Source organism: Homo sapiens, chromosome 1 (genome assembly GCF_000001405.40).
Source record: "Homo sapiens chromosome 1, GRCh38.p14 Primary Assembly".
Taxonomy (NCBI): Eukaryota; Metazoa; Chordata; class Mammalia; order Primates; family Hominidae; genus Homo; species Homo sapiens.
In genome coordinates this window covers 241,896,203-241,922,603 of record NC_000001.11, presented here as the reverse complement: position 1 = coordinate 241,922,603, position 26,401 = coordinate 241,896,203, and the positions used below count along the sequence as shown (strand labels likewise).

Genomic DNA, 26,401 nt, shown 5'->3' with positions numbered 1-26,401 from the left:
AAATTAGCCGGGAGTGGTGGTGCACCCCTACAGTCTCAGCTACTTGGGAGGCTGAGGTGGGACGATCACTTGGGCCCAGGAGGTGGAGGTTGCAGTGAGCTGAGATTGTGCCACTGCACTCCAGCCTGGGTGACAGAGCGGAACTCTGTCTCAAAAAAAAAAAAAAAAAAAAAAAAAACTCCAAGGCAGAGATCTTCCCATGGCTGTATCGGCTGCCTTGTTTTGATTTATAACTGTAGATTCTCTTCCATAAACTGAAAAGTTTGCAAAAATTACTGTTTCATGGCTTATCTAGGAATCATATCGAAAATGTTGCTGTTATTTTTAGTGTGGCACAATAACTTTGTATGCTGTATTTCAATCTAAATAGAATTTTCTTTTTTTTTTTTGAGACGGAGTTTCGCTCTTGTTGCCAGGCTGGAGTGCAGTGGTGTGAACTCGGCTCGCTGCAACATGCGCCTCCCGGGTTCAAGTGATTCTCCTGCCCCGGCCTCCTGAGTAGCTGGGATTACAGGCGCATGCCACCATGTCTGGTTAATAGAATTTTCTAATGTTAAAAAATGAAAATAAAATGCAAAGCCATGATTTGTGGTAGCCTCTTGCTCATCGAGGGGGAAGTGTAAACCTAAAGCCCTTTCTCATCCCTCCCTCTTTAGCTCCGTCTCTGCTGTCTCTTTTCCACTTTAACACACGGGGTGAGTCCCACACTAGCTAAACCACCCCTCTTCTTACAGGTCATACTGTTTCTATTTTTGTTTTTTTTTGTTTTTTTTTTCTGAGACAGAGTTTCTCTCTTGTTGCCCAGGCTGGAGTGCAATGGTGCGATCTCGGCTCACCACAATCTCCGCCTCCCGGATTCAAGCAATTCTTCTGCCTCAGGCTCCTGAGTAGCTGGGATTATAGGCACCCGCCACCACGCCCAGCTAATTTTGTATTTTTAGTAGAGATGGGGTTTCTCCATGTTGGTCAGGCTGGTCTCGAACTCCCAACCTCAGGTGATCTGCCTGCCTTGGCCTCCCAAAGTGCTGGGATTACAGGCGTGAGTCAACACACCTGGCCCATGCTGTTTCTTTATGTTCCTCCTCTGCCCCATCTGCTCCCTAGACTAAGAATTAATCTCTAGACTCTTCATCATCTGCAGTTACTTCCTCGTCTTGGAAGATTCCACTCAAGTGCCATGTTCTGCATGAAAACTCACCTGCCCCTCTACTCCGACTCCAAGCCCAGGCACAACTGGCTACTCTCCCCATTGCAGCCCCACCATTCCATATCAGGCCCTCTGTATCATCCTGCCTAGAACACTCTGTTGCCGTTTTCCTTTTTCTTTCTTTTCTTTCCTTTCCTTTTCTTTCCTTCCTTTCCTTCCTTTCTTTCTTCCTTTCTTCCCTTCCTTCCTTCCTTCTTTCTTTCTTTTCTTTTCTTTCTGACAGAGTCTTGCTCTGTCACCAGGCTGGAATACAGTGGCATGATCTCGTCGCACTGCAACCTCTGCCTCCTGGGTTCACGCCATTCTCCTGCCTCAGCCTCCTGAGTAGCTGGGATTACAGGCACGTGCCACCACACCCAGCTAATTTTTGTATTTTTAGTACAGACAGGGTTTCACCATGTTGGCCAGGATGGTCTCCATCTCCTGACCTTGTGATCCGCCTGCCTCAGCCTCCCAAAGTGCTGGGATTACAGGTGTGAGCCACTGCACCCGGCCCTATTGCAGTTTTCTGTGTACATGTTTGTCTTCCCCACCTGGATGCAGAAACCTGAGCTGAGTCTTCTGCTACAGTGGCCCACAGTTAGGTGCCACAAAAATCCAAAAGATACATTTTTATATTTTTTGACAAATGAAAAAAATATATCAGCCTAGGGCCGTGGCTCATGCCTGTAATTCCAGCACTTTGGGAGGCCAAGGTGGGAGTATTGCTTGATCCCAGGAGTGTGAGACCAGCCTGGGCAACTTAGCAAGATCCTGTTCCTTCCAAAAAAAGTATAAAAAATTGGCTGGGCGCAGTGGCTCATGCCTATAATCCCAGCACTTTGGGAGGCCGAGGTGGGTGGATCAGGAGTCATAAGTTCAGGAGTTCGTGGAGGCCAAGGTGGGTGGATCACGAGGTCAGAAGTTCATGTTCAGCCTGATCAACATGGTAAAATCCCGTCTCTACTAAAAATACAGAAAATTAGTCGGGCATAGTGATGTGTGCCTGTAATGCCAGTTACTTGGGAGGCTGAGGCGGGAAAATTGCTTGAATCTGGGAAGTGGAGGTTGCAGTGAGCCGAGCTTGTGCCATTGTACTCCAGCCTGGGCAACAAGAGCGAAACTCTGTCTCAGGAAAAAAAAACAAAACACATATATATATATAATTAGCTGGGCATAGTGATACACACCTGTAGTCCTAGATATTGCAGAGGCTGAGGTGGGAGAATCACCTGAGCTCAGGAAGCTGAGGTTGTAGTTAATCGTGATCACGCCACTGCACTCCAGTCTGGATGTTGGAGTGGGACCTTGTCTCAAAAAAAAAAAAAAAAAAAAAAGGAAAAAATATATCATTTGGCATCATGAACAAATGATATAGTAATAGTGTTTTTTGTGTGCTTCCTCGCACATTTGTGAGCCTGCCTTCCCCATGGCTGACCCACCCCGTTCTGACCTTCAGCCGCCACCCTTGTGGCTTGTTGACTCTGCTAGTTCAATCATGAGCATTGGTGGATGATCAGACACTGGTTGCCCAGCTGGCATCCACCCCCCTCTACCCTCACCTATAAACGACTGGATTTTCACATCCCAGCTCCCCACCCTAGTGCATTTCAGAATCAATTCAGGCCACCCTGTCAAACTCTCACTCAGTTTGGTAGAGGACAAGGTTCACTCCTGTGGATTAAGGAGGACCAAGAGAATCCACTGTAGGGGTTAGACCATGAGCAACAGTGGAAAGAAATTGGGCAAACGTCCTCACATCACATGCAGCTCTGTAAAGTGTATGTGTTCCTAATGCCTGGTGGACCCAACCATCAACGATAGGAGTTCATCCTTGTTGCTCCTTCCCACTCGGCCAGTGTCAGCATACATGTTTTCTCACGTGGCCACACTATATTTTTCATGCAATATGCAGTGTAGGGCCGGGCGCAATGGCTCATGCCTGTAATTCCAGCACTTTGGAAGGCCGAGGTGGGTGGATCACCTGAGGTCAGGAGTTGGAGAGCAGCCTGACCAATGTGGTGAAACCCTGTCTCTACTAAAAATACAAAAATTAACTGGGCATGGTGGCGTGCACCTGTAATCCCAGCTACTCAGGAGGCTGAGACAGGAGGATTGCTTGAACCCAGGAAGTGGAGGTTGCAGTGAGCTGAGATCACGCCATTGCACTCCAGCCTGGGCAACAGAGTGAGACTCCATCTCAAAAAACAAAACAAAACAATATGCAGTGTGCACTCATGAAAGTGAAAAACAGACTCAGCTGGATTTCTGAACATGGTAGGGCCTTGGCCTGATGCAAGGCGTGAGTCACAGCTTCGCTTCCTTTGTGTCCTCACAGGACATCAGGGAAGGACCCGGTATGCCTCATCAGGGGCCTCTCCACTCCTTCCAGTCTCCTGGGGCTCCCTGGAGGGAGGGGAAAGGACTGATTTGGAGCAGGGAAGGGCCATGGGGCTTTTCGGTCAATGAGGCACAGCATTGTCTCTGGATTATACAGAATTTCCAGAGAAATGCACAGGAAAAGAGAAGAGTAGAAAAGTGAGAGGATTTCAGTCTCTGATTTTAGGAGGAAGCTGCTGACTTTATATCCCTAAGGCTGGCTCTTCCTGGGCTAATCTCTCTCTGACCCTCTGCTCTCTAAAGCTCAAATTACTTCTTTGAAAATGTGTGTTGGAGTGTGATGGGGGGAGAGAAACATAGAAGAAAGTTAAGCTGCAGAATATAACTGTCAAACTGGGTGTGTACCATAACATAATGTGGCAAAGGGTGCAAAGCTGCTTCATCACTGTGGTGGGATGTGGCCTTTTCTGAGCTGTTGCCAAAAATGGGTAAGGGAGTTAAAGGTTGGTTACATCTTTATATATTTTTAGAAAATCACCATAAAAGGGTTGACTTTAGCCCACTGTAATTCTCACTGGGCTCAGACTCCAGATTTTGCAGGTATGGTCTTTGCGGCTTAGTTCTCTTCTCCCATCTACTGACATTTTCTTCTAGAATAAAATATTTGCTTTGATCTGTCACAATGTTAAGTACTTTCACTTGTTCTCACTGACATCTTTCAAATAATTCAGGTGATTACATCACAGCAGGGCTACCCCTGAGGTGTGTGAGCCCCAGCAAGTAGTTTTTGGTGAGGCTCCTGTCTATGTAAACCATGTAATGAAAAAAATGTCGGGCCGGGTGTGGTGGCTCACGCCTGTAATCCCAGCACTTTGGGAGGCCAAGGAGGGCAGATCACAAGGTCAGGAGTTCGAGACCAGCCTGACCAACATGGTGAAACCCTGTCTCTACTAAAAATACAAAAAATTAGCAGGGCGTGATGGCATGCGCCTGTAGTCCCAGCTACTCAGGAGGCTGAGGCAGGAGAATCGCTTGAACCCGGGAGGCAGAGTTTGCAGTGAGCGGAGATCATGCCACTGAACTCCAGCCTGATGACAGAGTGAGACTCTGTCTCAAAAACAAAAAACAAAAACAAAAAAAATGTTCAAACATAGGTGAGAACAGGTGCACAGGCTGCATTGGAACTCAAGCTCAAGGCTCAGTAGCCAATCCTTGATCTTACCCTTTGCTCTAAGAACCACCCCAAATCAGGTGTCAGTACCATGTTGCGGTACAACAGTGCACGAGAGAAATGCTGCACCAGCCAGGGGAAGCTCTCTTCTCTGGGTGCCCTCCTGGAACCAGGGCCCCGCCATAGGTTGGGCCAGGATGACCCAACAGACACAAGCCCCGGAGCTTCTTGGTGCATCTGGTCGACCCTCTGAGGGCGGCGGAGCACCTCGGGACCTGGTCTGTGTCCCTGGCACCCCGCTGAGACAGCATTGCCAGCGCTGGCTGGTTCCAGCCAAAGGAAGGGTCTTAGAACATTTTGAAGAAACAATTCAAAAAGCACAAGGCTTCCTGAGGCGTGAGGCCGAGCTGGGACTAAGGACTCTGCTACATCCGAGTTTTCTCCTTCCACTTAAAAATTGTGTTTCTGATTATAAAAATCCAAAATCTGTATATAAGAGAACATTTTAAAATTGCAAAAAATTTCCGGGAATGCCACAACTAAATATTAACAGTTCATTATTAATTCAAGTATTAAATGACTCCTCCATGTGAGGCACTGTGCTGGGGGCTGTGACTAGAACTGCATGTAAGACAGACACAGTCCCTTACCTCTATGAAGCTTACGCTCCAGCAGGTTGGTTATATTTCTAATTATGAATTTAAAAATTTTTAATTATAACATTTACTTACGTTTCAAATTCAAGAGGTACAAAAAAGTACACAATAAAAAAATTTTGGCCAGGTGCAGCGGCTCACGCCTGAAATCCCAGCATTTTGGGAGGCTGAGGCAGGCAGATCATTTGAGATCGGGAGTTTGAGACCAGCCTGGCCAACATGGTGAAATCCCTTCTCTACTAAAAATACAAAAAAATGAGCCAGGCATGGTGGCGCGTGCCTGTAATCCCAGCTACTCAGGAGTCTGAGGCAAGGGAATCGCTTGAACCCAGGAGGCAGAGGTTGCAGTGAGCCGAGGTCACTCCACTGCACTCCAGCCTGGGCAACAGAGTGAGACCCTCTCTCAAAAAAAAAAAGACAAAAAAATTTCACCCACCCCTTTTCTCTCCCAAAACATAATTACATTTATGTATATGATAAAGTACACTGGAAAGAAGGCATATTTCTTCTGACCCCTTTTATTCATTTTATTCTATTATTTTTTTCCAGTGAAAAAATATATATATAACTAAGTCTGGCTGGCTAATTCTAAAGATATATATATGTGTGTGTGTGTGTGTTCCGTCTGACCCACTTTTATATATCTCTCTCTTATATATATAAATATCTATCTATCTATCTTTAGAATTAGCCAGCCAGACTTAGTTTAGATTATCCCAATTTTGCTGACAATACCCAAAGCATTGTAATTAGGATCCAGGTAAACATACGCCTTCTTCTCTCCATCAGCCTGATCGGGGTGTGGACTTTGACCACACTAGTATTAGTGAGCTTTCTCGCAGCCTGCTTGATCTGACGCTTGTTGGCTTTAACATCCACAATGTACACAAGTGTGTTGTCTTCTCTCTTCTTCATGGCTGACTCAGTGGTCTGCGGGAATTTGATGATGGCACAGTGGTCAGGCCTGCTCCTCCTGGAGGTGCTTGTCTGAGGATATCTGGGCTGTCTTCGGGAGGTGCAGTGTCTGGCCGCAGGAAGGTGGGTGACATGTGGATGTTCCTTTTTGTGTGTGGCTGTGGATGGCTTTCAGCACTGCCTTCTTGGCCTTCAAAGCCTTCGCTTTGGCTTCGGCTTTAGGAGGGGGCAGGAGCTTCCTTCTTTGCCTTCTGTGCCATCTTGCACAAAGGACCCCCTTTTATTTATTTATTATTATTATTTTTAGATGGAGTCTCACTCTGTTGCCCAGGCTGGAGTGCAGTGGTGCGATCTCGGCTCACTGCAACCTCTGCCTCCCGGATTCAAGTGATTCTCCTGCCTCAGCCCTCCGAGCTGAGTAGCTGGGACTACAGGCACCATCACCCCCGGCTAATTTTTTTGTATTTTTGGTAGAGACGAGGTGTCACCATATTGGCCAGGCTGGTCTCAAACTCCTGACCTCGTGGTCTGCCCACCTCAGCCTCCCAAAGTGCTGGGATTACAGGCGTGAGCCACCATGCCCTGCCATTTTTATTTATTTTTGAGACGGAGTCTTACTCTATCGCCCAAGCTGGAGTACAGTGACACAATCTTGGCTCACTGCAAACTCCGTCTCCCGGTTCAAGCAATTCTCTGCCTCAGCCTCCCCAGTAGCTGGCATTACAGGTGCCCACCACCATGCCTGGCTAATTTTTGTATTTTTAGTAGAGACAGGATTTCACCATCTTGGCCAGCCTGGTCTTGAACTCCTGACCTCGTGATCCACCCGCCTTGGCCTCTCAAAATGCTGGGATTACAGGCATAAGCCATCACACCTGGCCAGGACTCCCTTTTATTTAAAGCAAATAGTAGCTGATAGGGTTTGGATCTGTGTCCCTGCCCAAACCTCATGTTAAAATACACTCCCCAGTGTTGGAGATGAGGCCTGGCAGGAGGTGACTGGATAGTGGGAATGGATTTCTCATGAATGGTTTAGTACCATACCCTTGATGCTGTCCTTGTGACAGTAAGTGGGTTCTGGTGGAGATCTGTGTGTTTACAAGTATGTGGCACTGCCCCCATCTCTTGCTCCTGCTTTCGCCATGTGGCCTGCCCCACTCCTCCTTTGCCTTCTACCATGATTGGAAGCTTCCTGAGACATCACCAGAAGCTGAGCAGATGCCAGTATCATGCTTCCTGTTCAGCCTGTGGAACTCTGAACCAATTAAACCTCTTTTCTTTATAAGTTACTCAGTCTCAGGTATTTTTTTTTTTTTTTTTCTGAGATGGAGTCTTGCTCTGTCGCCCAGGCTGGAGTGCAGTGGCGGGATCTCAGCTCACTGCAACCTCTGCCTCCCAGGTTCAAGCGATTCTCCTGCCTCAGCCTCCTGAGTAGTTGGTACTACAGGTGCGTGCCACCACGTCCGGCTAATTTTTGTATTTTTAGTAGAGATGAGGTTTCACCATGTTGGCCAGGCTGGTCTCCAACTCCTGACCTCAAGTGATCCACCCTCCTCGGCCTCCCAAAGTGCTGGGATTACAGGCGTGAGCCACTGTGTTCGACCTCAAGTATTTTTTTTTTATACCAATTCAACAACGCACTAATACAGTAGCATAGAAAATACAAACCACTTAATATATATGCATCTAAGTTTTTTCACTCAAAATATACTTTGGAGATTGTTCCAAAAGTTCAAGAAGAGTTTCCTCTTTCTCTCTTTTAGTTCCATAATATTTAGGCGAATATCATAATTATTTAACAAGTTCTCCCTGATAGATGTTTTAAATTGACTTTCAAACTTTTTCACACAAAATTGTATTAGTAAGCTCACACATGTTATCTTCAAATGTATGAGCATATCATAAAATACCCATATAAATAGAATTGCTGCATACAAGGGTATGTGAATTCATAATTTTGATAGGTATTGCCAAATTGTTTTTAATGGAGCTTTTACCAAATAACACTTCAGCCAGCAATGTATGAGCAAGGTTAGTGATACTTTGATGTGTTCCCTTCCATGCTAATTTTTCTTTGACAATCTTAGGCTCATGTAGCACTTACTGTCTTATTTTTTTTCTTTGCAAAATTATTTTATTCTCCAAGTAGAAAAAAGTGGTCATGTCTTTCCACAAATGTTGAAACCTACACTAAAGCCACCTAAGGTTATAAAAAGCTAAGCTCTGTTATAGCTTTCTTTTATATTCCGTTTTCACATATTGGAACCTACTGCATCCAAATATTTAGTAACCAGGACTTCATCGGCTAACCAATCATATTTCTGCTCAGAGTCTTCAGGCCATGGTCATAGCCCTGGCCACTTGTCTTTGCATTAGACCGAAGGAAATAGCAGATGTCAGCAGCAGAGCAACAGCAAGAGTGAGAGAACCTCTGCTGCGTTGGATACATCATTTCCTATCCTTAGAATGATCTACTTCTTGGAGAAAATTAGATTTGAAACTTGGAGAAAAGGGAGATGCTGTTTAAAATGTAGTGACATAGGCCGGGTGTGGTGGCTCACGCCTCTCATCCCAGCACTTCTGGAGGTGGGCAGATCACGAGGTCAGGAGATGGAGACCATCCTGGCTAACACGGTGAAATCCTGTCTCCACTAAAAATACAAAAACAAAATTAGCCGGGTGTGGTGGCGGGCGCCTGTAGTCCCAGCTACTCAGGAGGCTGAGGTGGGAGAATGGCGTGAACCCGGGAGGTGGAGCTTGCAGTGAGCAGAGATTGTGCCACTGCACTCCAGCCTGGGCGAGACAGGGAGACTCCATCTTAAAAAATAATAATAATAAAAAAATAAAATGTAGCGACATAACATGTCACAAGAATAGAGAAAAAAATTAAGCAAAATGCAGTGATAAGCACCTTTCACTTAACTTTGCTCAGACCTAGACACACACTTGCACACACGTGTATGCACACACACACACTTCCTAGGAAAACAATGCTGCCTTCATTTTTATTTTATTTTTTGAATACAAAATGCTCAGGAATATCACTTCCCCATAAATAATTCCCTAAATTCTTTTTTTTTTTTTTGTTAGATGGAGTTTTGCTCTTGTTGCCCAGACTGGAGTGCAATGGCACGATAGCTCACTGCAGCCTCCATCTCCAGGGTTCAAGCAATCCTCCTGCCTTAGCCCCCTGAGTAGCTGGGATTACAAGCACCACCACTGTGCCCGGCTAATTTTTTGTTTGTTTGTTTTCTGTTTCTTGAAATGAAGTCTTGCTCTGTCGCCCAGGCTGGAGTGCAATGGCATGATCTCAGCTCACTGCAACCTCCGCCTCCCAGGTTCAGCGATTTTCCTGTCTCAGCCTCCCGAGTAGCTGGGATTACAGGTGTGTGACACCACACCCAGCTAATTTTTTGTGTTTTTAGTAGAGACAGGGTTTCACCATTTTGGTCAGGCCGGTCTCGAACTCCTGGCCTCAAGTGGTCCGCTCGCCTTGGCCTCCCAAAGTGCTGGGATTACAGGCAGGAGTCATCGTGCCCAGCCCCTAAATTCTTTAAATTACATAATTTTAAAGAGGCTTTTTAAAAGAGTGGTTTTGTGTTGACAGCAATGTTGAGCAGAAGGTACAGAGATTTCCCACATAGTCCCTATCCCCACACATGCAGCCTCTCCCACTACCAACATCCCTCACCAGAAGGGACATTTGTTAGAACCTGTGAACCAACATTGACACATCATTATCACCCCGAGTCCAGAGTTTACAATAGGATTCACTCTTGGTGTGTACATTCTCTGAGTTTGGACACAGGTCTGATGACATGTATAGCATATATACCGTTTGTAACTTACTTTTTCTTATTTAATGTATCAAAATTATTTTACCATGCCATTACATAGTCTTCTTCAACATAATTTTTAGTGGCTTATAACTTATTCCATTATATAATTAACACATCATTTATTTAACCAATCCACTATTGTTTTGGAGGGTTTTTTAATTTTAATTTTTATGTATTTATTTTTGAGATGGAGTCTCACTCTGTTGCCCAGGCTGGAATGCAGTGGCATGATCCCAGCTCACTGTAACCTCCTCCTCCTGGGTTCAAGCAATTCTCCTGCCTCAGCCTCCCGAGTAGCTGGGATTACAGGCGCCAGCCACCGTGCCCACTTAATTTTGTATTTTTAGTAGAGACGGGGTTTCACCACGTTGGCCAGGCTGGTCTCAAACTCCTGACCTGAAGTGATCCTCCCACCTTGGCCTCCCAAACTTCTGACCTCAAGTGATCTGCCCACCTCCGCCTCCCAAAGGCGTGAGCCACGGTGCCCAGCCTGATTATTATTTTAAGAGCTGTGAAATTAGTATAATATGTATGGCTTCACTGAATGTTCTCAATAGATTCTAGAAAAGTGTAGCTTTAAGAAAAATGACATATAGCAGGTCCTCAAATCTTGTTTCATAATAACATCGTTTATGAAGAAAAACAATGGTTTCGTTATAAGTCATTTTGCTGAAAGTCGCAGTTTCCAAGAACCTATCAATGATGTTAAGTGAGGGCTTACCGTATTACCTGGGACAAATAGATAATTTTCTACTCACACCTCTCACAACAACCACATATGAAGTATATTTTTAGATTCCTTATTATTTGCAAGAAATAGTGCTATGTGTGATACAAGAAACAAAGCTAAATTATATGTAAAGGAATTTATATTCTCTTTGGAAAGACAGTATTTACAAATTTAAAGAAAGGGGAACTTTTACCTTTAGTATCTTATTTGACTTTCACACCGACTGTGTGTAATAGGTGGAAATGATCAGAATTGCGGAAACACAAACACTTTCTTGGCCTCTAACTGACATTGGATTGATCCAACACTTAATAGAAATGAAAAAAATGTAGAAAGATGACAAGGGGGACCTTCCATTTTTGATGACAGCAAGCTGTTATTTGGACCACATTCCTATGGGAAGACAAGTTAAAATGAGAGAGTATGGAAAAGTTCTTTAAAGCATATAAAAATAGAGTTTGAAATTTGGAGGTCAAGAAACAAGAGAAAGTGGGAAGAGCACAGTCCACTCTTGCACTGAGAGCATCTGCAGATCTGCCTGGAGGCAGCTGGGAAACTGAGCTGAGACTCAGAAGGATGGGCAGAACCAGAAGTATACCCAGACCTCTTTTCCTGTACCCTCTTGAATGGGAAGAATTTGGGGTTGAGTGGGGAAGAAGGCTGATCCCCAAACTTGAAAAACAAATGCTGTCCCTGGTGAGTGCTCACAGCCCAAATTCACAGTATTAGGTATAAGAGACATGTTTACTTAAACATGGTTACAGATTCCTAGTACCCAGGTGTTTGGCAGTTGTAAATGCAAAACCTCTCTGGATAAAGGCATCTTCATCCCAGGCCTCTGAAAGACCGCACGAATAAATTTTCAAGGGCAAAGATAGCACTAAATCAAAGATAAATTAGTACAACAAAAAAATAAGATGCAATGAACAAGAACTAACAAAAACCCAGCAGATAACAGACCCCCCCCACAAGACTTCATATGCTAGAATTATTACAAACAGATTATATGTAATTATTATTATTTGAAACATATGACAGGCTTTAAAAAAATTCTTGGTGAATGGGAGATGATGACATGTGATATAACAGATTTGTAAATGAACCAAATAAAAATTCTACCCATGAAAAAATAAAATAACCCAAATTAATAACTCAGCAAAATGAAGTTTTAAAGCAGATTGAATACAGAAGATAAAAATAACAGATTTGGAAGGTAGGCCAGAAGATATTATATAGAATGAGAGAGAGAAAGATGGAGAACAGGAAAGAGAGAATAAGAGACTTGGAGAACAGAATTGGAAGGTTCCAGAAGGAGAGGAACCTTCCAATTGAAATATCGCATTGGCAGAGGCGATATTTCAAGGGATAATGTCGGAGAGTTCTACAGAAAGGGTGGACAGCACTTATTTATTTATTTATTTATTTATTTATTTATTTATTTATTTTTATTATTTTTTTGAGACAGAGTTTCGTTCTTGTTGCCCAGGCTGGAGTGCAATGGCGCGATCTCAGCTCACTGCAACCTCCACCTCCCGGGTTCAAGCGATTCTCCTGCCTCAGCCTCCCGAGTAGCTGGGATCACAGGCCTGTGCCACCACACTTGGCTAACTTTGTATTTTTAGTAGAGGCCAGGTTTCTCCATGTTGGTCAGGCTGGTCTCGAACTCCCGACCTCAGGTGATCCGCCCGCCTCAGTCTCCTAAAGTGCTGGGAATACAGGCATGAGGCACCACACCTGGCCCACAGCACTAATTTACAGATTCAAGAGACCCAATGAATGCCAAGAAAGATAAATGAAAAGTAAATCATACCAAAAAAATCACAATAAAACTGTAGATAATCAAAGACAAAGGATATGTTAAAATATTGAGGGAGAGGGAGGAAGAGAGAAATAGCGGGGGCGGGTAGAGAGAGAGATGGAGAGAGAGAAATAGAGAAATGAAGAGAAAGAGGAGAGAGGGAGGGAGAGAAAGAAGAGAGAGACAGGAGACAGATGGGGAGAAAGAGAGGAGAGGAGAGATGGAGAGAAAGAGAGGAAGAGAGAGATTACCTTCAAAGCATCCATGATGGCCGGGCGCAGTGGCTCATGCCTGTAATCCCAGCACTTTGGGAGGCCATGGTGGGTGGATCGCTTGAGGTCAGGAGTTTGAGACCAGCCTGGCCACCATGGTGAAACCCCGTCTCTACTAAAAATACAAAAATTAGCCAGGCATGGTGGCGTGTGCCTGTAGTCCCAGCTACTTTGGAGGCTGAGGCAGGAGAACCACTTGAACCAGGGAGGCGGAGGCCGCAGTGAGCCAAGATCTCACCACTGTACTCCATCCTGGGTAACAGAGCTCAAAAAGCAAAGCAAAACAAAACAAAACAAAACAAAGCAGCCATGGCTACGCAAATAGAATACAGAAAGACCCGTTAATACACTGAAAGAAAGTAATTGCAAAGCTAAAATTCTATACTGAATAAAAAGATCTGTAAGAATGAAGGTAAATAAAGACATTTTCAGACAAAGAAAAAAACGAGTTCATTCCCAGCAAATCTCAAAAAAAAATAATAAAGAAAATAGTACACTTATGGATAGCTCTATATGAATTCTGATTTCATCAGGCAGTAAAATTAATGTCTGGTGGAACTTAAAAAATATTTAAATACTTTGTGACAATAAAACACACAAGCTGGAGCAAATGGGAAGGTACTGGTCATTTACCTGCTTTTTTCCTCTGCTCCCTTCTGTGCACTGCTAATTACTGAGAGGGCTGGGGCACTGCCTGCTGCATCTCTTAGATTCCCTTTGCCACCTGGTGTCAGTCTTTTGGTCTCCTTTTAGCCACAGCAGTGCAGTGATGGAAGGTTGAGAGGACGGAAGGAGAGAAGCACTTTCAGATTCCGTGGATATCCCTAAAATAAATGCAACAACAGGCGCTGGCTTGGAGGCTACAGCCCTTTTTTCCATACCTTAATCTTTTTTTTTTTTTTTGAGACGGAGTCTCGCTCTGTCACCCAGGCTGGAGTGCAGTGATCTCAGCTCACTGCAACCTCCGCCTCCCAGGTTCAACTAATTCTCCTGCCTCAGCCTCCTGAGTAGCTGGGATTACAGGCACCTGCCACCACCACACCTGGCTAATTTTTTGTATTTTTAGTAGAGATGGGGTTTCACCATGTTGGTCGGGCTGGTCTCGAACTCCTGATGTCGTGATCCACCCACCTGGGCCTCCCAAAGTGCGGGGATTACAAGTGTGAGCCACCATGCCCAGCCCATATCTTAATCTTTCTCTCTGTCCTTCTCTTTCTGATCTCTGGGTATCCCTCTTTACCCCCTTTTGTCTTTCAGCTACCCCATATTCTGTTTTGCTCCTCCAGCTTTTCAACATCTTATAACAAATTCCCTGCATTAAATGCCCCTGATTGTCATACCTAGAGTGGTTTCTGTGTCCTCGCTGCCTTGTGATTCTGTGCAGCTCTTTCAGGGGGCTTCTCCACATCCCTGCTTCCTGGACCATCCTCACCTCCTCCCTAGGCCTGCAGCCTCATGTGCAGCACCTCCGTCTTGTCCTCACTCACCTGCTCCTGGTCTCCAAACAGCATTTGTAGTTCTGTAGCAGAGAGGAGTGCCCAGACGCTCCAGAAGGTCACACGTGTGCTCCTCACACAGGGGTCTTTCTGAACTAAGAGGATACAAAAAGGGTCCCCAGTGTTCTTCAGGTTTCTCTGAAGGAAACCTCTTCAATCAGGATAGAACTACTGGGGCATTCTTTTTATTTTTGAGACAGTCTCGCTCTGTCGCTAAGCTGGAGCGCAGTGGCCCGATCTCGGCTCACTGCAACCTCCGCCTCCTGGGTTCAAGAGATTCTTTTGCCTCAGCCTCTGGAGTAGGTGGGATTACAGGTGTGTGTCACCACACCTGACTAATGTTTGTATTTTTAGTAGAGACAGGGTTTCATCATTTTGGCCAGGCTGGTCTCGAACTCCTGACCTCTAGTGATCGGCCCGCCGAGGCCTCCCAAAGTGCTGGGATTACAGGCATGAGCCACCGCACCCGGCCTGAACTATTGGGACATTCTGTAGCCAGTATCCCACATTTGGGGGAGGGGCCATAGGGATCCCTTCCTGTAGCCAATCAGCACTTTGCCTTCCTCCTAGGCTTCACCTGAGCTGTGGGGGGACAATGGAACTGCAGTGCCCTGGGTAGTGCCAGAGTCCAGCGTCTCCATAAACTTGTCCTGTTTTGGGGACTGGTACTGCCCCCAGTGAATCCCACAGAGGACACAGAGCTGAGGCTTGGAGCCTCATCTCCACTCCAAAGCTCCTCCAGCTCCTCAGCTCCTCATCTTTTTATGCTCTCTTAAGCTTCTTCTAGAACATCATAGCTCTAGAATGCAAATCTCATTTTATCGCTCTCTTCCTTAAGACCTTCCAATGACCTGTTTCCATATTTTCATATAACATCTTCAGGAATGTACAGACAGTCGCCTTTCTAAAAAGGAAATAAAAAACTTCCAATGGCTTTCTCAGGCAGAGCGATCTTTCTAAAATGGAAATGAGACCACAGCACCCTCAACTATAAATACATATTGTGAGTTTTTGTTGTTGTTGTTGTTTTTGTGGGGGGACAGAGTTTCCCTCTTGTCGCCCACGCTGGAGTGCAATGACGCAATCTCATTCACTGCAACCTCTGCCTCTCAGATTCAAGCGATTCTCCTGCCTCAGCCTCCCAAGTAGCTGGGATCACAGGCACCTGCCACCATGCCTGACTAATTTTGTATTTTTAGTAGAGACGGGGTTTCACCATGTTGCCCAGGCTGGTCTCAAACTCTTGACCTCAAGTTATCCACCTGCCTTGTCCTCCCAAAGGATTGGGATTACAGGGGTGAGCCACTGCACCCGGCCCTAAATTAGGTTTTCAATCTTGTCTGCCTATTAAGCTAGGTTATAGTTCATCCACAAGGATTCAAATATAAAAGTATGAAGTCCTTCTCAGGCCATATTTAGTTTGCTTTAACAATATATGTGAAAGAAAGAAGCATTTACTGTCCCTTCCATTCTTCTCAGGATAAAGTCCCCTCTTCCTAACTGTCTCTCAAGGTCCTTACGCCCCTCCGGCCTCGTATGTCACTGCTCCTTATCTGTTTCACTTCTCAAAGCTCCAGCCACACCAAAATTATTATAGCTCTTCAAACAATCCATCCTGTTTGCTGTGCCTAGAATATTCTTCCTTGTCTTCTTGGTCTGGCTAATTATTTCTCACCATATATTTGCTTAGAGGTCACTTCCTTCAGGAGTTATTCCTGGACTTCAAATCTGAGTTAGATGCCTTAAGTGCTGTCTAGAGTACTGTATGCCCCTATCACATCGCATGGGAATGTGCTCACCTATTGTGACCATACAATAGAAACCTGCTTTTTTTTTTTTTTTTTTTGAGACAGGGTCTCACTTTGTCAGTCAGGCTGGAGTGCAGTGCCTCAATCTTGGCTCACTGTAGCCTCCATCTCCCCAGCTCAAACGATTCTCCTGCCTCAAGCCTCGCAAGCAGATGGGATTAGTCACGTGCCACCATGCCCAGCTAATTTTTGTATTTTTAGTAGAGATGGGGTTTCGCCACGTTGGACAGACTGGTCTCAAACTCCTGACCTCAGGTGATCCGCCCACCTCGACCTCCTAAAAGTGCTGGGATTACAGGCGTGGCCCACCGTGCCCAGCCAAAACCTGTTTAATGAATGAAATAAAGTTTGGAAATGTGTATTTTACTATGAATCTATGGTATGCCACTTTCTACATAACATTGACATGTGTACATATATAAATTGTGTGTGTGGGGGTGTGTGTGTGTGTAGGTAAGTACTATATTGGGCGCACACTTACTCTAGAGCAGAAACCTTCTGAATCTGGTCTCTGAGGATGTTGAGGTGGGTCACAGGGTAAGGACTAAACCTCTGTACACCTCATAAGAACAGAGTAAGTTCTGCCTAAACAGCCATACTTACCAAGGGAACAGAGTCAAGGAACATAGTGAGGGTGGAGAGTCATGGGGCATTCTCCTGAGTCCAGCCAGAAGCAGAGTGAATGTTCAGGAAGACTGACCAGCCAAGTTTATTATTATTATTATTATTATTATTATTATTATTATTATTATTAGATGGAGTCTCACTCCATCTAATAATCGTATCACTGCACTCCAGCCTGGGCAACAGAGTGAGACTACATCTCAAAAAAAAAAAAAAGAAAAAAAATGGTATCGGGCACGTCCAGAGCCAAGGTCACAAGAGAACTTGCACCCTCCACTTTTGCCCCCTTGGAATGCAGCCCTGAAACCACCATATAAGGAGCTGTTCTAGCCTACTGGAGGATGAGAGCCATATTCGGGGCTCCTGCCCACACGCAGGGGGTGAAATCAAACTCCTCAAGGACCTGCCCACATCTACCACAGAAGACAGTAAAATAGATCTCCACCTCATCACATGAAACCATCACACAGGTTAACTAACCATTTCTTGCTCAAAAAAAAGTTAGTACTTAAAAAATTTCCAAGAGCAATCAAAACTTTTCTTCTCAAGAAACAGCATAAAAAGAGAAACCAAGCAGGAAACGGCCTCAGTGTCCTTTGCTGAGGCTCTCTCTCTAGGCCATCCTTACTACCCTGCGCCCCTCCCGGGTTCACGCCATTCTCCTGCCTCAGCCTCCCGAGTAGCTGAGACTACAGGCGCCCGCCACCACGCCCGGCTAATTTTTTTTGTATTTTTAGTAGAGACGGGGTTTCACCGTGTTAGCCAGGATGGTCTCGATCTCCTGACCTCATGATCCGCCTGCCTCGGGCTCCCAAAGTGCTGGGATTATAGGCGTGAGCCACCGTGCCTGGCCCAGGCTCTCATTTTTTTAAGGTTGGTGAGTCCCCAAGAGTAAAAACTCTGCAGTTTGGCAGATATTTATGTGCATAGTCCAGCACAGTGGCTGATACATAATGGATGCTTCTTAATGCTTTCTAATTATGCTAATTAGAGATTATTAACTATTTCTAAATGAATTAATGTAGAAATTCATCTTACTGGGCTGAAGAATGGGGAGTGCATGGAGTTTGGGGTGCACCTATTGGGAACAAAGGGGTAAGTTGTATTAAGACTCACTTTTCGGTGAAGCCACTAGAGCCCCCACAGCATCTGGAGTCTGACGGGAATTGGGATCTAAGCCTGACTGGTTTTCCCTTAGTCGTCCTTAGTCTGCACTGCATTAACCTTAGCAGTTCTGAGAATGCAGAGTGTTCTAAAAGAGTTCATTAAAATATTGTAATAGATGCTCTGAAGAAACTGTCTGCATCAGCCAAAACCTTCGAGAGGTTGTGTCCAGTTCAGGAAGACTGACCAGCCAAGTTTATTATTATTATTATTATTAGATGGAGTCTCACTCTGTCACCCAGGCCGGAGTGCAGTGGCATGATCTTGGCTTACTGCAACCTCTGCCTCCCAGGTTCAAGTGATTCTTGTGCCTCAGCCTCTGAGTAGATGGGACTACAGGTGCATGCCAACATGCCCAGCTAATTTTTGTATTTTTAGTAGAGACGGGGTTTTGCCATGTTGTCCAGGCTGGTCTTGAACTCCTGACCTCAAGTGATCTGCCTGCCTCAGCCTCCCAAAGTGCTGGGATTATAGGTGTGAGCCACTACGCCCAGCTGAGCCAAGTTTATTTACTGAGCCCCTATCAGCTATTTTGAGTTCCATATCATTTTTATTGAGTTCAGCTGGCAGGTGACAACTTCAATCCCTTCAGCTTTATCTGTTAAGTTAGCAGCATTTGGCTTGCCTTGTGTTGTCCTGTGTAGGCGGAAGCTGGGTGAGGGAAAGGCCTGGTTCCTCTGCTCGGTGATTCTCGCAGGTGGACTAAACGTTTCCTACTGAAAATTCCCTCCCTGACATCAGAGGGAAAGAACCACTTAGGGGCAAAATGCTGTCAGTGGGCTTTACAAATACCTGGAAACAAAGTTATCTGGACTAGTTTCCAAAGGTTATTTTGGGAACTTATTACAGAAATTTAATAATTGAAATACAGTACCAGTAAAACGTTAAAATAACACAGAGAACCTGCTGTTACAGCAACATTGGGAGCTCTCACTTTCTCTTTTTTTTTTTTTTTTTGAGATAGAGTCTCACACTGCTGCCTAGGCTGGAGTGCAGTGGCATGATCAAAACCCACTGCAGCCCCCACCTTCCGGGCTCAAGTGACCCTCCCACCTCAGCCTCGTGCGCACGTACACTGTGTCACCTATGGAACGGTGGTGAGGACCTAGACCATGGTCAGCTCCTGTGGGACCAGGAACTTTGTTTTCGTCCAGCAGTGGCAGGAACGTCTCTCTGGGGGTAGCGCTCCACTATCACCTGTCAAGAATTTCAGCATAAATTTCTTCTGAAACAAGTGCCTAAGAATGTGACTCAGAGTTCTACATGTCTTAGGAATTCAGAACAGAGAGAAGGCCATTGGTTGCTTTTTGTTTTTTCCAAGAATAGGATCAGAGGTCCCCCTAACAGAAGTCCAATGGTGTCCCCCCAACAGAAGTCCAATGGTGTCCCCCCAAGAGAAGTCCAATGGTGTCCCCCCAACAGAAGTCCAATGGTGTCCCCCCAACAGAAGTCCAATGGTGTCCCCCCAACAGAAGTCCAATGGTGTCCCCCTAACAGAAGTCCAATGGTGTCCCTCTAACAGAAGTCCAACGGTGTCCCCCTAACAGAAGTCCAACGGTGTCCCCCTAACAGAAGTCCAGTGGTGTCCCCCTAACAGAAGTCCAGTGGTGTCCCCCTAACAGAAGTCCAGTGGTGTCCCCCTAATAGAAGTCCAATGGTGTCTCACTGGGATCTTCTTTGGGAACTTTGCCCAGATTCCAGCAACTTCCTCTTGTCTGGTTGCTGTGACGATTTCAAGTATAAAAGAATAAGCAAATGGCAAGGCAAGCCATAGCTGCTCTTCTTTTATTCCCCTAGTCAGCCAGAAAGGTACCTCTAGAACTTTACTAAGTTCTTCCTCTGCTTGAAAGGTCTGAGGCTTGGGATTTTCAGTGGAGGCAGCATTTTACTCAACATCTGTGTCTATGTCTGACTTAAAAAAGAAAAAAAAAATCCTGCAACCAGGACCTAACTCGTTCTTCCAGCTGCTTCCAAATAGCCTGCAGGAGCCTGAAGGGAGGCCCCTCTGTAGGGCTGAGTGACATCACGCCTCTCCTCTCCCTCCCCTCTTCCCACTCCCGCTCCCTGGGCAGCAGGAGGTCAGTTCTGAGGTTGGAAATGGAATCACCATCTGTATATTGGTCAGAGAAAGTCACTTTGCTCACTATTAGTTAAGAATTTATCTTTGCCAAAGAAATTAAGGTTTACAATGTGGTACTGTAATACTAGTCTTCACTATAATATGGTCTCATAGGCCTTAGCTCAGGAGCTCTGGATAGAATTAGTCTCAAGCGAGGACTTTTTTTTGAGACAGAGTCTCGCTCTGTCACCCAGGCTGCAGTGCAGTGGCACGATCTCGGCTCACTGCAACCTTCGCCTCACGGGTTCAAGTGATTCTCAAGTAAGGACATTTTAATACCACAGTTATAAAGCGGACAGAAGATTGGGTCACCTTACCCTGAAATATGTTGCCATTTTTCATAGTGAGAAATAGAAAGGTTGAGCAATTTGCCCAGATAAAGAGGTGAAACTAGCATTAAAATCCTGATGTGTTATCAAAGTATCATTGTACTCTGCAGTTTTCCAGCATATTTTATCATACTTCTGCTGTTTCAGGAATGTAGGTAGGACCATTATCATAACTAAGAGTTTGCATGTAATAGATGATGAAACTGAGGTCCATAGAGATTAACTTACTTGCCTAGGACCAAAGAGATGCTTAGACAGACCCAGTTCTCTTTGTTCCCAGACCAGGATGTTCCATCCTAGTGCACTTCTTTTATGCAGGATGGTTTTAGGACTTAGCTTCCCTGTCTAGAAAAAGATGCTGCTCTTGACGTGGACCACTTCCTTGCCCCAGATCCAGGAGCACAGTGGTCCTTCCATGATTCACACACATCCTTTTTCTGAGAATAAACAGGATCAGGCTAGGCACATTGGCTCACACCTGTAAACCCAGCACTTTCAGAGGCTGAAGCAGGAGGATTGCTTGAGGCCAGGAGACTGAGACCAGCTTGGGAAACAGGGAGATTCCATCTCTACAAAAAATTTTTTAAAAAAATTAGCTGGCATGGTGGCATGCACTGTAGTCCCAGCTACTCAGGAAGCTAAGGCAGGAGGGTCGCTTGAGTCCAGGAGGTTGAGGCTGTAGAGAGCCATGATCTTGCCATTGCACTCCAGCCTGGGCAATAGAGCAAGACCTTGTCTCTAAACAAATGAAGAAACAAAAAAAATAAACAGGACCATTAGTATCTGTTCCATTGTTACTAGATGGCCCACCATCTTTAGAGGTCTCATTGCTGTGGGGACTGCTCTGGGACCATTCCATGATGAGTTATTTGACATCTGAAGAGTCTTCAGTCAAATGAGGATGATGGAGAGGAAAATGGCCAAACATTTCTAGGTCTGTTGAGGGACAGAAGGAAAAATAGTTTCCTGCTTTTTACCTATTAAAAAAAAATCTCATTTTTTTTCATTTAATTTTGCATTTCCTCCTGCCTAGGAAGCTGGGGCAATGGTTTCTGAGCTCACTCTGAGTCCTTGAGCTCCCAGGTAATGGAGAGAACTTGGCCTCTGCAGTCAGAAGGATTTCTTAGTAGGCTTCTATATCCTAGGCCACTCCGCCATGAGCAGTGTCTTCCCTGACTCTGCCTAGGCACGGTGGAGTGAGCCAGGGCAGTGACTTAAGTTGTTTCATAAAGCTCTGCACCAGGCTTGGCCAGCTTGGCTAAATGCTGAAGTCCAAAATGGGTCCTGGCAAATCTTGCACAAAGATACGATTGCCCCTTTCTCAGCCTCTTGGGTCCTTTATTCACCCAGTAACATTTAACCAATTGCTTGAGCATTGGAGCTCTCATAATGTTTTGTTGTTATTGTTGCTCAAGAAGAAAGAAATCTCTATTTTTAAATACTAGCTTCATGGGATTTTCCATCTATGGTTATCTATATTTTATTTGAGAAAAAAATTATTATTATTAACATTTAATGACCCTGTTAGTTAGGATAGGCAATGCTATGCTGCAATAAGAAACACACCCCCTGCCAAGAGCAGTGGCTTACATCAGTAATCCCAGCACTTTGAGGGGCTGAAGCAGGAGGATTGCTTGAGGCCAGGAGTTTGAGACCAGCCTAGGTAACATAGTAAGACCCTGTCTCTACAAAAAATTTAGTCAGACATTTTGGCTTGTGCCTATAGTCACAGCTACTTGGGAGGCTGAGGCAGGAGGATCATTTGAGCCCAGGACTTTGTAGTTGTCATGAGCTATTATTGTGCCATTGCACTCCAGCCTGGGTGACAGAGCGAGACCCTGTCTCTTAAAAAAAAGACATAAAAAGAAATAACCCCAAAATTAATAATTGAACATAAAAACGTCATCACAGTTCAACGCATGTTGGGAGTTTCTCCTGTTTGGCTCCTCTCCAGGAAAAATTCAGGTACAGAAGTTGTTTCAGACTTGCAACTCTGTCATCTGAGTTCTTTGTTTCTAGAAGTTCAGATGAGAAAATAGATGGAAACAACACATTTGCTCTTAACTGCCCCAAACTAAAAGTGCTTGAAGTGGCTAAACTAAAAGTGCTTAAAGCAACTACTGAGTGTCCACCGGCCTTCCATAGATAAGCATTAATTACATGACCCTACCTATAATGAATGAGCACCTTTTCTCCACAATGGTTGTTTGCTATGTCAAGCAACTACTATGTTCTTTATTGGTTTTATATTTTAACATTCCACCAAAAAAAAAAAAAAAAAAAGAGAGTGAGAGAGTGAGAGAATGTGGACTCTAGAATTAGATTACTTGGATGTGAACTCTGGTTCTCTTACCTACTAGCTGTGTGACCTTGGGCCAGTTGAGGTACCCCTCTCTCTGTCTCTGTTATCTTGTGTGTAAAATAATAATATCTACCTATGTAGATGGGGCTATGAAGTGGGGCTATGAGCATCAAATGTGTTAGTTGATCTATGTAAAAAAGACTTAGAACAGTGCCTGGCACCTACCACTCAACAAGTGTGAGTTACTGTTTTCACCATTTTGTTGATGAAGGGCCGAAGAATCAGAGCAGCTCCACGAATCCATGAACAAGACAACGCTGGGCGAGACAACAGACTTGGCCCATCAACATCAGCTTCTTCAGCATTATAAACTTTCTCAGGAATAGGGAGGAAGTGTACTTATTAAGTATGCTTGACCCTGTGCTAGTCACATATATTTTCTCAATTATTCCTTCTAAAAAAGAGAACCGAAACTCAGAGAAGCAAAATAACATGCATAGCTGCTGGATTTAACCATGCTCATTTCATTACAAAATCATGTGCTCCTTCTTGAATTTTAAATAAAAAACTTGCTGGTGGGAAATCTTGCAGTCTTAGGGAAAATATTTTCTGAGACATCCCTCTAAACAGTCTCCTCCTCCCAGAAGCTCTTACATGTCCAGACCCCCCTGTTGCCTCCACTGTATGGATTGTCACAGATCAAAATGGAGAATGCACACTCTACCCCTCCAAACGTCAGACTACTTCTTTCCTGCTCACCAAATGCTATCACAGACGGTCCTTTTAGAAGTCACGCCATGGCATCCTGGAGTGAAGGCAAACAGGCTGCCTCCAGCTCCTCTGGGCTATCAGGGGAGATAATTTAAGGTCCTACTGGCTGGGTGCAGTGGCTCACGCCTGTAATCCTAGCACTTTGGGAGGCTGAGGCAGGTGGATCACTTGTGGTCGGGAGTTCGAGACCAGCCTGGCCAACATGGCGAAACCTTGTCTCCACTAAAAATACAAAAATTAGCCAGGTGTGGTGGCGTGTGCCTGTAATCCCAGCTCCTTGAAAGGTTGAGGCAGGAGAATCGCTTGAACCCCATAGGCGGAGGTTGCAGCGAAGCGAGATCGCTCCACTACACTTCAGCCTGGGCAGCAGAGAGAGACTCAAAAAAAACCAAAAAAATTTAAGGTCCTACCTCACAGCTCCCACAATCCACTGTCATAGTAGTGCCTTGTCTCCTTTCATGAGTCAGCTTTGCAGGTGTTTGTGTCTTATCCCTGGGGATGAAAAAAGATGTTCTGACACCAATAACTCTAACACAAGTCTGGAAAACAATTTGGAATCTGGGTTGCAGAAGGTAGCAGACACTAATGGAGCTCCAAGCCCATTTTTCTAAGATCCAGAGCAATTTCTTGCTTTCTGCACCTCTTGCATTTATTGTAATGTACTCCCAAGAAACCTGGCCATTAGCTCTGTATCTGCTTAAGAAACCTCCACTTTCAGAATCTTCAAGGCTGGAAGGAGAATGCAGCACCAGTCAGGTACCGTGACCTGAAGGTTGGCACCTTCGGAATTTTCCCAGCCGGATCCCAGCCATGTCTCTTCAGGAAACATAGGATTTGGAACCTGACAGCTTGAATGGGACATTCAACGTTTGGATTCTGAAGAATTCCAAACGTTCTTCAGGAATATTCGCTATAGATAAAAGTTTTATTCTGAATAATAAGAATGTGGAAGGCTGACCATATTTTACATTAATATTGTCCAATATGTTTATGTTGAACTTTTCTTCTACACATGAAATCTGAATTGCTCTGACTCATTACCTGCGAACATTTCCTTTCCACTGTGGGGCACACAGAAGTAACCAGGAGGCTGGGCGCCGTGGCTCACGCCTGTAATCCCAGCACTTTGGGAGGCTGAGCAGGCAGATCACCTGAGGTTGGGAGTTCGAGACCAGCCTGACCAACATGGAGAAACCCCATCCCTACTAAAAATACAAAATTAGCCAGGCGTGATGGCGGGTGCCTGTAATCCTAGCTACTTGGGAAGCTGAGGCAGGAGAATCGTTTGAACCCGGGAGGTGGAGGTTGCAGTGAGCCGAGATCACGCCATTGCACTCCAGCAGCCTGGGCAACAAGAGTGAGACTCTGTCTCAAAAAAAAAAAAAAAAAAAAAGTAACCAGGACACAGCACCTAACATTCCTGGGTGCAACACTGGATCGTTCTTTTCTCGTTTCAGTTATCTGCATTCGCTGAGCCATTTGCTACTTGTGTCTAATTTGATCTAAGTCAAAAGCATACCTGATAAAATGCCCTAGCAGGAAATTGTATCCCAGAATGATTTACATCATGGAATGGAGTAACCTAATGCTTCCAAGGAAGACTGCCAGGCATTTCCCCCTCTTTCAGTCCCCTTTCTATGAATTGACTTTATATATTTTTTTCTGGCTAGTAAAATTATTAAAACATTCCTCCTTTGGCTTAATAAATTAGCTTTAAAATCTTAATTGCCGCTGGGCACAGTGGGTCATGCTTGTAATCCCAGCACTTTGGGAGGCCAAGGTGGGTGGATGACTTGAGGTCAGGAGCTCCAGACCAGCCTGGTCGACATAGCAAAACCCCGTCTCTACTAAAAATACAAAAAATTAGCCGGGCATGGTGGCATGCGTCTGTACTCCTAGCTACTCAGGAGGCTGAGGCAGGAGAATCTCTTGAACCTGGGAGGCGGAGGTTGCAGTGAGCTGAAATCACGCCGCTGCTTTCCAGTCTGGGTGGAGTCTCAAAAAATAATAATAAAATTAAAAACTAATTAATTAATTAAAATATTAATTACCATGAAGTCTTGTGAGGCTCTTCACTTTTTTGAAAGTACAGTACTGAAATATTCAATGCAGCATTCTTTGAATACTGAAAAAAGATAAATAATCTAAATGTCATTAAGAAACAAGTAAATTATGACACATGCATTTTAAAGAGTTAAGAGAAGTATATTAATATCCACAAATTTCTTATACATACATAGATATTAATGATGTTCAAATTATATGCAGATTGAAAAAATTAGTTGCAGAAGTTGTGTTTTCAAAGTCTCAGAAAACAACCTGATAACAGGGGAGGAAACTAGGATTAGCATACTAATCAAAAGTGACTTGAAATTGATCTGTAATGTTGGACTTTTTATGTGGGAATATATTTGTGTGCTACTTGTATAATTAAGATAAATAAAAATAAAACATTGTATAAAAAAGTGGTTTTACAATAACCTCAAAGGTGCCTGGAAGGTCTCTGAGGCCATTCAGGTGTGGAGGAGCTGCCCTCTTGTGGAGTTTTGGAGTAGTTTTTACTCCCGAATCAAAGAATTTACTGTGTGTTTTCATTCAGAAAACACTGGAGTGCCAATTTCAGACTTAGAGATCAATCTCTCATGATTGTCCTGTAAGAAAAAAGACAGTAAAGGTTTCGTGGCTTTCCAAAGGTCACTTAGAGTTTCAGGCAAGTCATAATTACAGACCAAGTCTTCTGATTCCTAGCTGGTTCTTTCAACTATTCTGCCTCCCCTAAAGCATGAGCCAGTTAACTGTTAAATAAAACCCACTGTGGCCGGGCGTGGTGGCTCATCCCTGTAATCCCAGCACTTTGGGAGACTGAGGCGAGTGGATCACG

At 44.6% G+C, this 26,401-nt stretch overlaps 1 long non-coding RNA gene and 1 pseudogene across 2 annotated transcripts, besides 1 other annotated feature; both read right to left on the bottom strand.

Annotated features, from left to right (window-relative positions):
- Positions 4,779–4,956: a silencer, noted in NCBI's record as "fragment chr1:242080950-242081127 (GRCh37/hg19 assembly coordinates)". NCBI's record gives its function as "represses an EF-1alpha promoter that drives an FKBP-Casp9 reporter gene in an ReSE screen in K562 erythroleukemia cells {active_cell/tissue: K562}" and the evidence as "EXISTENCE:reporter gene assay evidence [ECO:0000049][PMID:32094911]".
- RPL23AP20 (ribosomal protein L23a pseudogene 20) lies at positions 6,017–6,540 on the bottom strand (annotated as a pseudogene).
- Positions 10,959–26,387, bottom strand: LOC124904604 (uncharacterized). 2 transcript variants are annotated; one of them, XR_007067057.1, is made up of 5 exons: positions 26,002–26,387; positions 25,572–25,645; positions 23,931–24,012; positions 14,395–14,498; positions 13,173–13,731 (listed from the first exon to the last, which is right to left on the bottom strand). It is a non-coding gene; the product is annotated as an uncharacterized LOC124904604 (long non-coding RNA). The 2 variants fall into 2 exon arrangements; XR_007067056.1 differs by lacking the exon at positions 23,931–24,012 and having other exon boundaries at positions 10,959–13,731.
- Positions 26,388–26,401: the final 14 nt, after the last annotated feature.